This window comes from Homo sapiens, chromosome 18 (assembly GCF_000001405.40).
Source record: "Homo sapiens chromosome 18, GRCh38.p14 Primary Assembly".
Classification (NCBI taxonomy): Eukaryota; Metazoa; Chordata; class Mammalia; order Primates; family Hominidae; genus Homo; species Homo sapiens.
The window spans coordinates 63724016-63739197 of NC_000018.10; the positions used below are offsets into that span (position 1 = coordinate 63724016).

At 40.6% G+C, this 15182-nt stretch overlaps 1 long non-coding RNA gene across 2 annotated transcripts; it reads right to left on the bottom strand.

The window, feature by feature from the left end:
• Positions 1–894: 894 nt before the first annotated feature.
• Positions 895–13819, bottom strand: LOC124904318 (uncharacterized). Of its 2 annotated transcripts, none has more exons than XR_007066401.1 (3): positions 13758–13819; positions 3246–3348; positions 895–970 (listed from the first exon to the last, which is right to left on the bottom strand). It is a non-coding gene; the product is annotated as an uncharacterized LOC124904318 (long non-coding RNA). The 2 variants fall into 2 exon arrangements; XR_007066402.1 differs by lacking the exon at positions 13758–13819 and adding an exon at positions 3454–3541.
• Positions 13820–15182: the final 1363 nt, after the last annotated feature.

A 15182-nucleotide genomic window follows, 5' to 3' on the forward strand; every position in this document is an offset into this window, starting at 1 on the left:
TTATACTACTCAATTGAATAATATTTTCTCCTCCTCCTTCTCCCCTTCCTTCTTCCTTCTCTTCCTCCTCCTCCTCTTCTTCTTCTTCTTCCCCTTCTCCTCCTCTTCCTCCTCCTCCCCCTTCTTCTACTTCCTTCTCTTCCTCCTCCTCCTCTTCTTCTTCTTCCTCTTCTCCTCCTCTTCCTCCTCCTCCCTCTTCCTCTTCTTCTTCTTCTTCTCCTCCTCCTTCTTCTTCTCCCCTTCCTCCTCCTCCTCCTCTGTCCTCTTCTTCTTCCTCTTCTTTTTCTTCTTCCTCTTCTCCCCAATCCTCCTCATCCTTCTGCTCCTCCTTCTCTCCCTCCTTCTCCTACCCATCTTATTCTTCAGCAAGTAAAGGTTCAAAACAGAAAAAGGCATAAGTCAATCAGAAGATTTTTGTTTTAAAGGAAGCCTCCTTTTATACTCAGGATAACATGGAGCAGTAATCAGATAAGAGTGGCTATTAAACATTTACTGCCTTCTCAGTGCCTTCTTTGTGAATATTTTCTCCTGGAACTTCCTCAGAAGTCTGAGTAGAGCAGGAGTCCCCCACTTCTACCTTCCCTAGCCCCATCTTAGAAGAGGTGGCTGGAGGTCAGCCATTGCTTCCCTCCTAGGTGACAGGGCAACATTCTTTTAGGATAGACAGCGGTGGCAGCTAATGAAATCTTTTCCTTTCTCCTTGGGGCATTGAAGAATGTGGCTTACTTTAATCTTCAATAAAAATATTATAAAATTGCAAGCAAGCAACAATCTCAGCAAAGTGTAAGACTGAAGAGTACCTACTTATAATAGCATGCAACTTCCTTGCTGCACTGAATGGCTGTCTTGTTGCACGTGGTTGTCCCAGTGATTGTCTACCAGGCCCATTCGTCACATGGCATAAAGACAAGAAGCTGTCTTGGCCAACATCACAGGATAACCCAAGACTCCACAGGCACAGTGGGTTTAACTGTGGTAACATGGAGAGACATGAAGCAACAATGATGGGTGTAGGAAAAGTAAGAATGGTTTTTGATATCTACTTTTCACCCTAAACATCTTGAGGATGTCACCTGGAAGTGTGGGGGTCCTCCGTTTCTGTCTTTTTTGAGAGAAAGAATTTGGCCAAGAGACAATTTAGCTAAGAGACCAGAGAGTTTATTGAATGAGAGTACACGCTAAGAGAGATGTGGGTTGTCCTGACTGGAAAACAGCCCATATAGTCCTGTGTTGTGGTTTTTATTATGTCAGACTTTTTCTTAAAGTTCCCACTATATGTATGTTCACCATTGTCAATTATAAAACATATATATATATCTTTATATAATCTATATCTATATATCTTCATATATCTCTCTATCTATCTATCTATCTATCTATCTATCTATCTATCTATCTCCATATATTAGGGGTGGGGAGAGGCAGAGAGAGAGAGAGAGAGTTTAATTAAAGGAAATGGCTCATGCAATTGTGGAGGTTGGCAAGTGCAAAATCTGCAGGGCAGTCTTGATACCCAGGGAAGAATTGATCCTGCAGCTTGAGTCTGAAGGCAGTCTGGAGGCAGAGTGCCCTCTTCCTCAAGAGACCTTAATCTATCTTCTCTTAAGGCCTTCAACTGATTGCATGAGGTCTACCCACACTATGGAGGTAATCTGCTTTACTCAAAGTGTACTGATTTAAATGTTAATTTTATCAAAAATTGCCTTCACAGCAACATCCAGACTGGTGTTTGACCAAATACCTGTGGACCTAGCGAAGTTGACACATGGAATTAACCATCACAGGCACCAAGGGGGCAGGGAGGTGAATTTTCACCCTTCAAAGAGCTAACAGAAGCTCTGCCTCTGCCAGTATAAACAATGTAACAAACCAGCAAGACTCATGGAAATAAGCCACAAAAGCAACTTTGCATTCCCCTCCTATTGTCCCTATAAAGCTGCTTAGAGGGAGGCCCATCCTTAGCCCCAGCATGAAAACTCTGGCAGTCCTCATGGCTTTCTGGTTACACCTAAAATCTAGAAAATCTGTGATTGTTCCATATCACAAACATAATGAGATTCAGGAATTAAAACATTTGGGCCCAGATAGTAATCTAAACCCTTACCATTCCCCGGGTGGTCTGGGGACCATAATGCTGGTCTCATGGGAACTTGTTAGAAATGGAAAGGCAAAATCTCTGGCTCCAACCCAAATCCACAGAAGGAATCAGAGCCTGCAGTTTAACAAGCTCCCCAGTTGATTTGTGTGCACACGACAGTTTGAGAAGCACTGATCTTAACTGCAAGCCTAATTTAATAGTGTATCTTCTTCCCTCCCACCAACTGCAACAGGTGCAGGGAGAAGCCTGGGATCTAGAAGAGAGGGGTGGTTGTTCCCTCACCCACCTGCTATTTCTGACTCCTAAGGATAAGCAGTAAGGGAGAAATTGACAAGGGAATGAGACAGTCCTGCAGATTTACAAGCTGGTGTTATGCTCTGGACCTGACATTTTGCCTGCAGGAGCTGTTGTGGGTTCCCTGGACAGAGGGCCTCTCTGCTCTCTTCCTGCTGGTGAGCTGCTGGCCCCAGTAACATTCCCCACAACCGTAATGATTAAGTTCCCTTCTCTTTTTGGCAGGATCTCTTCCTCTGGCTTGAGGTTTTTTGAATTTCTTGGCATTATTGGTTAATATTTTTCATCAGATTTATAGAGCATTCAGTCATTATTTCCTTAAATATATTCATGTGTGTGTATGTACGTATGTTTTTGCTAAAGTCAAAAACCAAGATTACTTTTGCACCAACTTAAGTACATTTTTCTTTTTAAAAATATTTTACTGGCGACAGAGCCTGATCCCATGGAAGCATGGTTCTGGGGCTTTGCTAGGGTGGATCTAGATCAGCTGTTATTTGACGGCTGTGGCCAGCACACTGCAGCCTGACGGCCAAGTCCTGCCTTCCACCTAGTTTTGTATGGTTTTGAAGCTACCACTGGTTTTGTGTGGCCAGTGGTCAGCACTTGGAAGGAATAGCACTGTGAGCTGCTAAGACACACTCTGGTGTTCCCTCCACTCTCAGTTCTCCTCTCTGCTCCCCATCCCCAGTGCCTGCTTCCTCAGGAACCACATTATGTGGCAGAATCTCAGTCTATGAACCTGTGACTTACCAGAGGCAACCACACCCTCCAGGAGGAGAAAAGATCTGAATGTCGTTGGGGCTGAGAGAGAAACTGACCCAGGTGGTCGCACCCCTTCCCACCTGCCTACCTGGCCCACCTGGTCCCTAGTCCTTGGACAGGTCATTCTTCATTCCAAAAATGTTTCCAGCTGGTGGCAGCTGGGCACAAAGTGGGTCACCTCCCAAGATGGCCTATGGGCAAATGGGGAGGGACAAGGTAAGAGTTTATTGAAGTATGTTTTGCCTTATGACCTGCACAAGTTTTAAGGAGTCTCATACCAAGTTTTGTTGGATTACCTACATATAGTCCACTGTCTCATTCGGAAGCCAGCACCTAATTTATTTTGGTGCCTCACTTAAACTTAATTTGGCATCACGTTAGACTTGGCATTAGGTTGCATAATGCTGTTTACTTTTGTGGCAGACATATCAAAATCGTCAGTAACAATGATATCTCATGCTGATTGGAATCTCTGACCAGAAGTTATAGATATCTTTGATGAAGCAAATCTGTGAAACAAAGGCAGTTTTGTGGATACAATCTTTTAAAATATGGAAGAAAAATGATAGAAATGGGGAAAAATTAAGAAATCACTCATGTGTATAGATGCCACTGGCCTGAGTTCATGACAAGAGAAGTGGAGGACTGAGAAAAGAGACTTCTAAATATCCTCACTTGCGTTATTGAGTTAAAAGGAAGCCGGGAAAGATTCAGAATAGCCCGCACAATATTGAAGAAGAAGAATAAAGCCAGAGGAAGGCTACCGCCTGATTTCAAGACTTACATAAAGCCACAATAATCAAGACAGTGTCATATTGTTGAAAGAATAACAAATAGGTCAGTGGAACAGAATAAGAAACCCAGAAAGAGACCCACACAAATACAATCAATTGGTCTTTGGTAAAGGTGCGAAGCCAATTCAATGGAGAAAGAATAATCTTTTCAACAAATGGTGGTAGAAAAGCTGGATCTCCACATGTCAAAAATAATCTAGAATCTGATTTTACATGACTCACAAAAATTATCTCAAAATTGATTATTCACCTAAGTATAACATGCAAAACTACAAAACTTCTAGAAGATGACATGGGAGAAAATCTAGGTGACCTTTGGTTTAGCAATGCCTTTTTAGATACAATACCAAAGGTATGAGTCATAAAAAAATGGATAATTTGGACTTAATTAAAATTAAAAACTTCTGCTCTCAAAAGACACCGTGAGAATAAAAACACAAGCAACAGAGTGGAAAAAATATTTACAAAACATATGTCTAATAAAAACAAAGCTGGTATTTAAAATATACAAAGAATTCTTAAAATTCAACAATAAGAGGCCAGGCATGGTGGCTTATGCCTATAATCTCAGCACTTTGGGAGGTTAAGGCAGGCAAATTGCTTGAGCTCAGGAGTTTGAGACCAGCCTGGGCAAGGAGAAAAACGCTGTCTCCCATCCCCCGCCCCCCACCAAAAAAAATTAGCCAGGCATTGTGGTACCTGCCTTAGTCCTAGCTGCTTGGGGGACTGAGGTGGGAGGATGAGTTGAGCCCAGGAGGTAGGGGCTGCAGTGAACTAAGATCACAGCACTGCACTTCAGCCCAGGAGACAGAGTCCCTAAACACACACACACACACACACACACACACACACACACACACACAATTAACAATAAGAAAACTGTTAGTTAAAAATGGGCAAAATATATGGACACCATACCAGAGAAGGTACATAGATGGCAAATAAACAAATGAAAACATGCTGTACATTATCTGTCATTAGAGAATTGCGAATTAAAACCTATTAGCATGGCTAAAATCTAAAGTACTGACAACATCAAATGCTGGTGAGCATGTGGAGCAACCGAAACTATGTCACTCATAGCTTATGGGTATAAAAGGTGGTATTTTGGGTCAGTATCTTATAAAACTAAACATGCTATTGCCATACAATCCAGCAGTTTCACTCTTTGGTATTTACCCAGATGACCTGAAAATTTATGTCTACACAAAAACCTGCACACAAATGTTTATAGCAGCTTTATTCATTATTGCCAAAAACTTGGAAGCAACCAAATGTCCTTCAATACATGAATGATTAAAAAACTGTGGTACATTTATGCAATGGAATATTATTCAGCAGTAAAAAGAAATGAACTACCTAGCCATGAAAAGACATGGAGGAACTTAAATGCATATTACTAAGTAAAAGAAGCCAGTCTGAAAAGCTGCATACTATATGATCCCAACTTAAAACATTCGGGAAGGACAAAACTGTGGAGACAATATAAAGATTAGTGGTTGTCAGGGGACTAGGGAGAGGAAGGGAGGGATGAATAGGTGAAGCACAGAGGATTTATAGGGCAGTGAAACTATTTTCTATGATATTGTAATGGAAAATGCACGCCATTGTACATTTGTTAAAACCCATAGGATATACAACAGAAAGATTGAACTCTAATGTAAACTATAGAATTTAGTCAACAATACTGTATTTAGTTAATAGCTATCTAAATTAATAATAATATTAGTTCATCAATTATAACAAATGTACAACACTAATGAAAAATGTTAATAGCAGGAAAAACTGGGAGGGAAGGACTAAGGGAGTATATGGGAACCCTATACTCTCTGGTCTATTTTTCTTTAAACCTAAAACTTCTTCAAAAAAATTAAGAATACTAATTTTTTCTTTTCTTTTTTTTTTTTTGAGATGGAACTCACTCTGTCACCCAGGCTGGAGTGCAGTTGCATGATTCTTGGCTCACTGCAACCTCCGTCTCCCAGGTTCAAGTGATTCTCCTGCCTCAGCCTCCAAGTAGCTGGGATTACAGGAGTGTGCCACCATGCCTGGCTAATTTTTCTGTATTTTTAGTAGAGACGGGGTTTCACCATCTTGATCAGGCTGGTCTCAAACTCCTGACCTCAAATGATCCACTCTTCTCGGCCTCCCAAAGCGCTGGGATTACAGGCGTGAGCCACCGTGTCTGGCCAAGAACATTGATTTTTAAAGAAGGAAATTGGGAGTTTTGTGTGGGCGGAGCAAGATGTCAGAATAGAAGCCTATACCACTTGTTTCCCCTGCTGGAACACCAGATTTTAATAACTATCTGCACATAGAAAAGCACTGTCATGGCTGGGTGTGGTGGCTTACAACTGCAATCCCAGTACTTTGGGAGGCTGAGGCCGGTGGATCACCGGAGGTCAGGAGTTCGAGACCAGCCTGGCCAATACGGTGAAACCCCATCTCTACTAAAAATACACAAAATTAGCTGGGTATAGTAGTGGGCACCTGTAATCCCAGCTACTCGTGAGGCTGAAGCAGGAGAATCTCTTGAATCTGGGAGGTGGAGGTTGCAGTTAGCCAAGATTGCACCATTGCACTCCAGCCTGGGTGACATGAGTGAAACTTAGTCTAAAAAAAAAAAAAAAGCAGTGTCACGAGAACCAAAAATCAGGTGAGCAATCATAGTAACTGGTTTTAACTTCATATCCTGGAAAGAGGAATTGAGGGGGGCAGGAGAGACAATCTTGAATTGTCGATGCCACCCTTTCCCCATGCAACATGGAGAAAGAGTCTATGCCCTTGAGGGAGGGAGAGTGCAGCAACTTGGGATTTTACATTGAATTCAGTACTGCTCTATCACAGTAGAGAATAAAGCTTAGCAGAGAATAAGGCCGTGCTGGGCTCAGCCAGCTCACCCTTGCCCGAAGTGAGCATTTGGACCAGCCCTAGCCAGAGGGGATTCACCCATCCCAGTGGTTGGAACTCGAGTTTCTTGGCAAAGCCTTGCCACCACAGGCTGAAGTGCTTTGGGGTTTTAGATAAGCTTGAAAGACAATGTAGGACACAAGGACTGCAATTCCTAGGAAATTCCTAGTGCTAAGCTGGGCTCAGAGCCAGAGTTCTAGAGTGGCACGTGACCTAGGGAGACACTAGCTTCTAAGGGAGTGCTGGTGTCACCCCTCCCCCGACCCCAGGCAGTGAAGCTCACAGCAATAAAAGTGATTCTTTCTTTCTATTTAACAAGAGGAGAACAAAGAGCAAAGAGGACTTTGTCTTGCATCTTGGATACCAGCTCAGCCACAGTAAGATAGGGCACCAGGCAGAGTTGTGAGGCCCCCGTTCCAGGACCTGGCTCCTGGACATTTCTAGAGACAACCTGAGCCAAAAGGAAACCTGCTACCTTGAAGGGAAGGACCAGTGCCTGGCAGAATTCATAATCTGCTGACTAAGGAGCCCTTGGTTCCTGAATAACCAGCAGCAATACTCAGGTAGTACGCTGTGGGCCTTGGGCTCTGAAATGTGCTGACTTCAGGTGAGCCCAAGCACGTCCAGCTGTGGTGGCTATAGTGAAAGGCTCCATCTTTTTGAGAAGCAGAGGGGAAAGTAAAGGGGGACTTTGTCTTGCACCTTAGGTACCAGCTTGGCCACAGTGGAGTAGAACAACAAGTAGGCTCTTGGGGTCCCTGAGTCCAGGCCTAAGCTCTTGGACACCATTTCTGGATCTACCCTAGGACAGGCAGGACTTGACTGCCCTGAAAGATGAGTCCCAGGCTTGGCAGCATTTATCACAAGTGGACAAATGAGCCCTTGGGCTTTAAGTGAACATCAGCAGTGGCCTTGCAGAACCTGTGTGGATCAGTGGTGGTGGTCACCACAGGGAGAGGCTCCTCCTCTGCCTGTGGAAAGGGGAGGGAAGAGAAAGAAAGTCTTTGTATTGTGATTTGAATGACAGCTTAGCAGCAGTAGAATATCAAGTAAGTTGCTAAGGTTTTTCACTCCAATCTCTGGCTCTCAGACAACATCCATGGACATGCCTGCAGCTTGGAGGAACTTGTTGCTGTGAAGGAAAGGGCCTTGGGCAATACCCAGTGCTATGTTGGCTTCAGGTGCTGACCCACCACGGTCTCAGTGGTGGTGGCCACAGGGATGCTTGCATCACCACACCCTCAGTTTAAGATGGCTCAGTACAGAGAGAGAGAGAAAGAGAGCGAGAGAAAGAGACAGAGAGAGAGACAGATAGATAGGTAGATAGAGAGAGACAGACAGAGAGACACACACAGAGAGAGACTCTGTTTGTTTGGGAGAACGTAAGGGAAAAGAACAAGAGCCTCTGTCTGGTAATTCAGAGAATTCTTCCAGGTCTTATCCAAGACTGCCAGAGTGGTACCTCTATGAGTCTGCAAAACTGACAGCATTATGGGGCTTCAGGTCCGATCCCTTCAAATACCCTGAAAGCCTCCTCAAGGACAACCAGAAATAAGATCAGACTATAAAGACTACAGTAAATACCTAGCTTTTCATTGCTTAGACACTGACAAATATCTATAAGCATCAAGACCATCCAGGAAAGCATAACCTCACCAAATGAACTAAATAATGAACCAGGGACCAATTCTAGAGAAAGAGACATATGTGACCTTTCAGAGAGATAATTCATAATAGTTGTTTTGAGGAAAATCAAAGAAATCCAAGATAGTCTAGAAAAGGAATTAAGAATTCTATCCAATAAATTTAACAAAGAGATTGAAATTATGAAAAAGAATCAAGCAGAAATTCTTGAGTCGAGAAATGCAATTGCCATCATGAAGAATGCATCAGAGCCTTTTAATAGAATTGATCAATTTAATAGAAGAAAGAATTGGTGAGCTTGAAGACAGGCTGCTTGAAAATACACAGTCAGAGGACACAAAAAAAAAAGAGTAAAAAAGAATGAAGCATGCATACCAATCTAGAAAATAGCCTCAAAAGGGCAAATCTAAGAGTTATTAACCTTAAAGAAAAGGTAGAGAAAGAGATAGGGGTTTATTCAAAGGGATAATATCAGAAAACTTCTCAAATCTACAGAAAGATAGCAACATTCAAGTACAAAGTTATAGACACCAAGCAGATTTAACACAAAGGAAACTATCTCAAAGCATTTAATAATCAAACTCCCAAATGTCAAGGATAAAGAAAGAATCTTAAAAGCAGCAAGAGTAAAGAAACAAATAACATACAATGGAGCTCCAAAATGTCTGGCAGCAGACTTTTCAATGGAAACATTACCGGCCAGGAGAGAGTGGCATGACATATGTAAAGTGCTGAAGGAAAAAAATCTTTTATTCTAGAATAATATATCCAATGAAAATGTCCTTCAAGCATGAAGGAGAAATAAAGACCTACCTAGACAAACAAAAGCTGAGGGATTTCATCAAGACCCAACCTGTTCTACAAGAAATACTAAAGGCAGTTCTTCAATCTGAAAGAAATGGATGTTAATGAGCAAGAAGAAATCATCTGAAGGCACAAAACTCACTGGTGATAGTAACCACAAAGAAAAACAGAATAGTGCCCTGCATAGTGGCTCACACCTGTAATCCCACCACTCTGGCAGGCTGAGGTAGGAGGATCAGGAGGTCAGGAGATTGAGACCATCCTGGCTAACACGGTGAAACCCTGTCTCCACTAAAAATATAAAAAATCAGTTGGGGGTGGTGGCACATGCCTGTAGTCCCAGCTACTTGGGAGGCTGAGACAAGAAAATCACTTGAATCTGGGAGACAGAGGTTGCAGTGAGCTGAGATTGTGCCACTGCACTCCAGCCTGGGCAACAGAGCAAGATTCTGTCTAAAAAAAGAAAAGAAAGGAAAAAAAAGAAAAAAAAAACCAAAATAGTAAAGCACTGTAATTGTCGTGTGTATACCACTTTTCTCTTAAGTAGAAAGATCAAATGATCAAACAATCAAAAATAATAACTTTTCAAGACATAGGTGGTACAATAAGACATAAATAGAAACAACAAAAAGTTAAAAAGCAGGAGGACAAAGTGAAAGTGTAGAGTTTTATTAGTTTTTTTTGTGGGTGTTTGTTTATGCAACCAGTGTTGACTTGTCATCAATTTAAAATAATGAGTTATAAGATAGTATTTGCGTTATTCACAATAGCAAAGACTTGGAACCAACCCAAATGTCCAACAATGATAGACTGGATTAAGAAAATGTGGCACATATACACCATGGAATACTATGCAGCCATAAAAAATGATGAGTTCATGTCGTTTGTAGGGACATGGATGAAATTGGAAATCATCATTCTCAGTAAACTATCGCAAGAACGAAAAACCAAACACTGCATGTTCTCACTCATAGGTGGGAATTGAACAATGAGAACACATGGACACAGGAAGGGGAACATCACACTCTGGGGACTGTTGTGGGGTGGGGGGAGGAGGGAGGGATAGCATTGGGAGATATACCTAATGCTAGATGACGAGTTAGTGGGTGCAGCGCACCAGCATGGCACATGTATACATATGTAACTAACCTGCACATTGTGCACATGTACCCTAAAACTTAAAGTATAATTTAAAAAAAAGATAGTATTTGCAAGCCTCATGGTAACCTCAAAAAAAATACAATGAATACACAAAAAATAAAAATCAGGAAATTAAAGCATACCACAAGAGAAAATCATCTTCACTAAAAGAAGACAGGAAGGAAAGAAAGAAGGAAGAGAAGAGCACAAAACAACCCAAAAATAAGTAACAAAATGGTGGGAGTTAAGTCTCTACTTATCAATAATAACATTGAATGTAAAAGAACCAAACTCTTCAATCAAAAGAGTGGATGAATGGATGAAAAACAAGACCCAATGATCTGTCACCTACAAGAAACACACTTCACCTATAAAGATACATATAGACCGAAAATAAAGGAATGGAAAAAGATATTCCATGCCAATGAAAACCAAGAAAGAGCAGAAGTAGCTCTACTTATATCAGACAAAATAGACTTCAAGACAAAAACTTTAAGAAGAGACAAAGAAGCTTATTATATAATGGTAAAGGGATCAATTCAGCAAGAAGATATAACAACTATAAATATATACATGCATCCAACACTGGGGCACCCAGATATATAAAGCTGAAGAGAAACATAGACTCCAATACAATAATAGCTGGAGACTTCAACACCCCACTTTCAGCACGGACAGACTATCAGACAGAAAATCAACAAAGAAATATCTGACTTAATCTGCACTACAGACCAAATGGACCTAATAAATATTTAGAGAACACTTTTTCCAATGGCTTCAGGACATTTTTCTTCTTCTCAGCACGTGGATTATTCTCAAGGACAGACCATGTGTTAGGTCACAAAACAAGTCTTAAAACATTCAAAAAAATTGAAATAATATCAAGCATCTCCTCTGACCACAATGAAATAAAACTAGAAATCAATAATAAGAGAAATTTTGGAAACTATTCAAACACATGGAAATTAAACAATATGCTCCTATGAAACTACTACAAGAAAACATTGGGGAAATGTTCCAGGACATTTGTGTGGGCAAAAATTTCTTGATTAATACTCTACAACTACAGGCAACCAAAGCAAAAATGGACAAATGGGATCATATCAACTTAAAAAAACTACTGCACAGCAAGAGAAACTATCAACAAAGTGAAGAGATAAGCTACAGAATGGGAGAAAATGTTTGCAAACTACCCACCTGACAAGGGATTGATAACCAGAATATATAAGAAGCTCCAACAGCTCTATAGGAAAAAAATCTAATACTCTGATTAAAAATGGGTAAAAGAATCGAACAGATATTTCTCAAAAGAAGACATACAAATGGCAAACAGACATGTGAAAAGGTGCTCAACATCACTGATCATCAGGGAAATGCAAATCAAATCTCATTCCAGTTAAAATTGCTTTTATTAAAAATTCAGGCAATAACAAATACTGGCAAGGATATGGAGAAAAGGGAATCCTCATACACTGTTGGTGGGAATGTAAGTTAGTACAACAATGGAGAACAGTTTGGAGGTTCCTCAAAAAACTAAAAATTGAGCTACCTTATGACTCAACAATCCCACTACTGGGTATTTACCCAAAAGAAAGGAGATCAATGTATCTAAGAGATATCTCCACTCTCATGTTTGTTGCAGTACTGTTCACAGTAGCCAAGATTTGGAAGCTACCTAAGCATTCATCAACAGATAAATAGATAAAGAAAATGTGATACTTACACACAATGGAGTACCATTCAGCTATAAAAAAGGATGAGATTCTGTCACTTGCAGCAACATGAATAGAACAGGAGGTTACTATGTTCAGTGAAATAAGCCAGGCACAGAAAGACAAACATTGCATGTTCTCAATTATTTGTGGAATCTAAAAGTCAAAACAATTGAACTTATGGAGATAGAGAATAGAAGGATGGTGACCAAAGGCTGGGAAGGGTAGTGGGGGGTTGGGGAGGAGGTGGAATGATTAATAGGTACAAAAATATATAGTTAGAAGAAACAGATAGGACCTACTATTTGAAAGCACAACAGGGGGACTATAGTCAATAATAATTACATTGTATATTTTATAATAACTAAAATAATATAACTGGATTTTTTGTAGTGCATTTATCCATTATGCATTGAAGGGATAAATGCTTGAGGGGACAGATAAAAATGATGTGATTTTTACACACTGCATGCCTGTACCAAAATATCACATGTACCCTATAAAAACGTATGAGTACTGTGTACCCACAATTTTTTTTAAATTTAGAAAAGGAAGTTGGAGAGAAAGTGGAGAGAAGGTCTCCTTGACCTGGATTTCAAAAAACAAAAGACAAGTCTTTATTTTTTTCCTCATTGTTCATGGATAGTATTTGTTTTTTATCTCTATTGTTCTTACTTCTTCTGACACCTAAAGTTTTTGAGTTGATTAATAAATTTTTTTTTTCCTTCTTACTGGACAAACACTGAGCCCCCAAATCCATGTTTGGTACCTATGATATTATAGTGACTCAGGAAAATTGCTGCTTCCCTGTGACAGCACTCATACCCACACCTCTAATGGACAGGAAGCACTGTGTTTTCCCACAGGCAGTCAGCAGCATCAAACCAGATTCTTAGCCACAGGGCACCAGTGGGTCATGGAAAGGGCATAGTGCACACAAAAGGTAACTTTAATGAGGTGTTTCTGCTCAGAGGCTCCTCCAGGGTAACTTGATGTAAATTTAAAAGACAAAGGGAAAAGAAGTCACCATTTGGGCAGTGGCACAGTGTCTGTGTACTTACTGCTCAGTCTAGTTTTTTCCTTCTACTTCTTCTAGATCTGTCATCTTTTTTTTTTCTCAGAAATTTTCAGGAGCAGAATAGAATGGCAAAAGTGAGGACTTAATGGGGAGAACTTTCTGGGGACTAAAACCTCAGAAAATCCTGCCTTTGGAAAATCTAGTTACTTTCCCACATGTTGTCCCTTGAAATATCTGAATTAACAGGTGACTATATGCCTGGGATTCCTGCCTCCGTCTGGTCTACTCCTGTTGTCCTGGTGTAATGATAAATAGCTTCCCATTTCACTCTCAAAAGTGAAATTCTGGCAATAACAAATGCTGGCAAGGATATGGAGAAAAGGGAATCCTCATACACTGTTGGTGAGAATGTAAGTTAGTACAACAATGGAGAACAGTTTGGAGGTTCCTCAAAAAACTAAAAATTGAGCTACCATATGACTCAACAATTCCACTACTGGGTATTTACCCAAAAGAAAGGAGATCAATATATTTGGAGGAGATCAATATTTGGAGGATAAATGATATGGTCACCTTACCTAAATACTACTGGATATTGAGCCATGGTTGGAGGCTGCTGTATCTATTGGCCATCGGTTACAAAAGGCAGCAGGAAAAAGGGCTGCTAGTTAGAAGCCCTAGGTATCTTGGCAACAGCAGCCCCCTGACACTCTACTAGTCACCCAATTCTACGCCAGTGTTTATAAGGAAGCTTTATAGTAAGTTTCGAAATCAGGTTGTGGCATCCTCTGACTTTGCTCTTCTTCAATATTATCTTGGCTATTCTGAATCTTTTCCAACTTCCGTTTAACTCAATAACACAAGTGAGGATATTTAGGAGTCTTTATTTTCTCAGTTCTCCACCGCATTTTGTCATAAACTCAGGCCAGTAGCATCTATACACATGAGTGATTTTCTAATTTTTCTCCACTTTTATTATTTTCTTCCATGTTTTGAAACACTTTATGCAGAAAACTGATGTAGTTTTACACATCACACTCTCTTGACCTCTGTCTTCTTCCTCTGGTACCCTAGTTTTGTAGAGGAAACTTCCCCTTTTATCCTATCCACTGATGGCACTTGTTCCTTCTTTGTGTCAACAGAGAAAGCAGAGATCAATGAGGTACCCAGCTTGGCCTCAACAGGACCCAAAAAGGAACATACACCTCTAGCCAACAATAGATTTACTGCTCAAGAGTAAATGACTTTAAAAGATTCTCATTTTAAAAATTCATTGACACCCTTATTCAATTTCATTTATTTTTTGAGACAAGAGCTCACTATTTTGTCAAGGCTGGTCTTAAACTACTGGGCTCAAGCTATCCTCCTGCTTCATTCTCCCAAGTAGCTCTGATTACAGGTGTGCACCACCCTACCCAGCAGATTAATTTCTTCAACAAACATTTATTGAGCACCAATTCTGGCCCAGATACCATGTTAAGTCACAGAGATATACAGTGAATAACACAAAGCCTCAGTCCTTGTCTTTATAAGGCGAGGATTTATATTTTGGCAGAGAAGACAGCTTTAGGGTAGTAATGACAATAGGGTAATCGGTGTCATGAGAAGACTGTTATAGGCAGGGTCCTTTTAGTAGACCCAATTTCAAAGAGTGAGGGTTCTCTTCCTAAGATAGGGACTTGGTCAGATTTGCATTCTAGAAAAGTCATTTGGGCTTCCAGATGCTCATATTTATAACGGGAAAGGTACATTATAAACTACATGAAATAAATCACAGAGGAGCATTTTACATGCTAGTAATCAGTTTGGCAGAACTAGAACATTTTGAAGGTGGGGATAAAATACCTATTCATGGTTTATTTTGGTTATGTGTAGACAGCATCTCTGACAATTTAGGTGTCACAGTGACAGGCACCATTAGGTGCTTAACTGGGTGATGGAATTGTCCAGTAATTTGGACATGAGTCATAGTCATCCACAATAACCATGACGTGACCATGCCA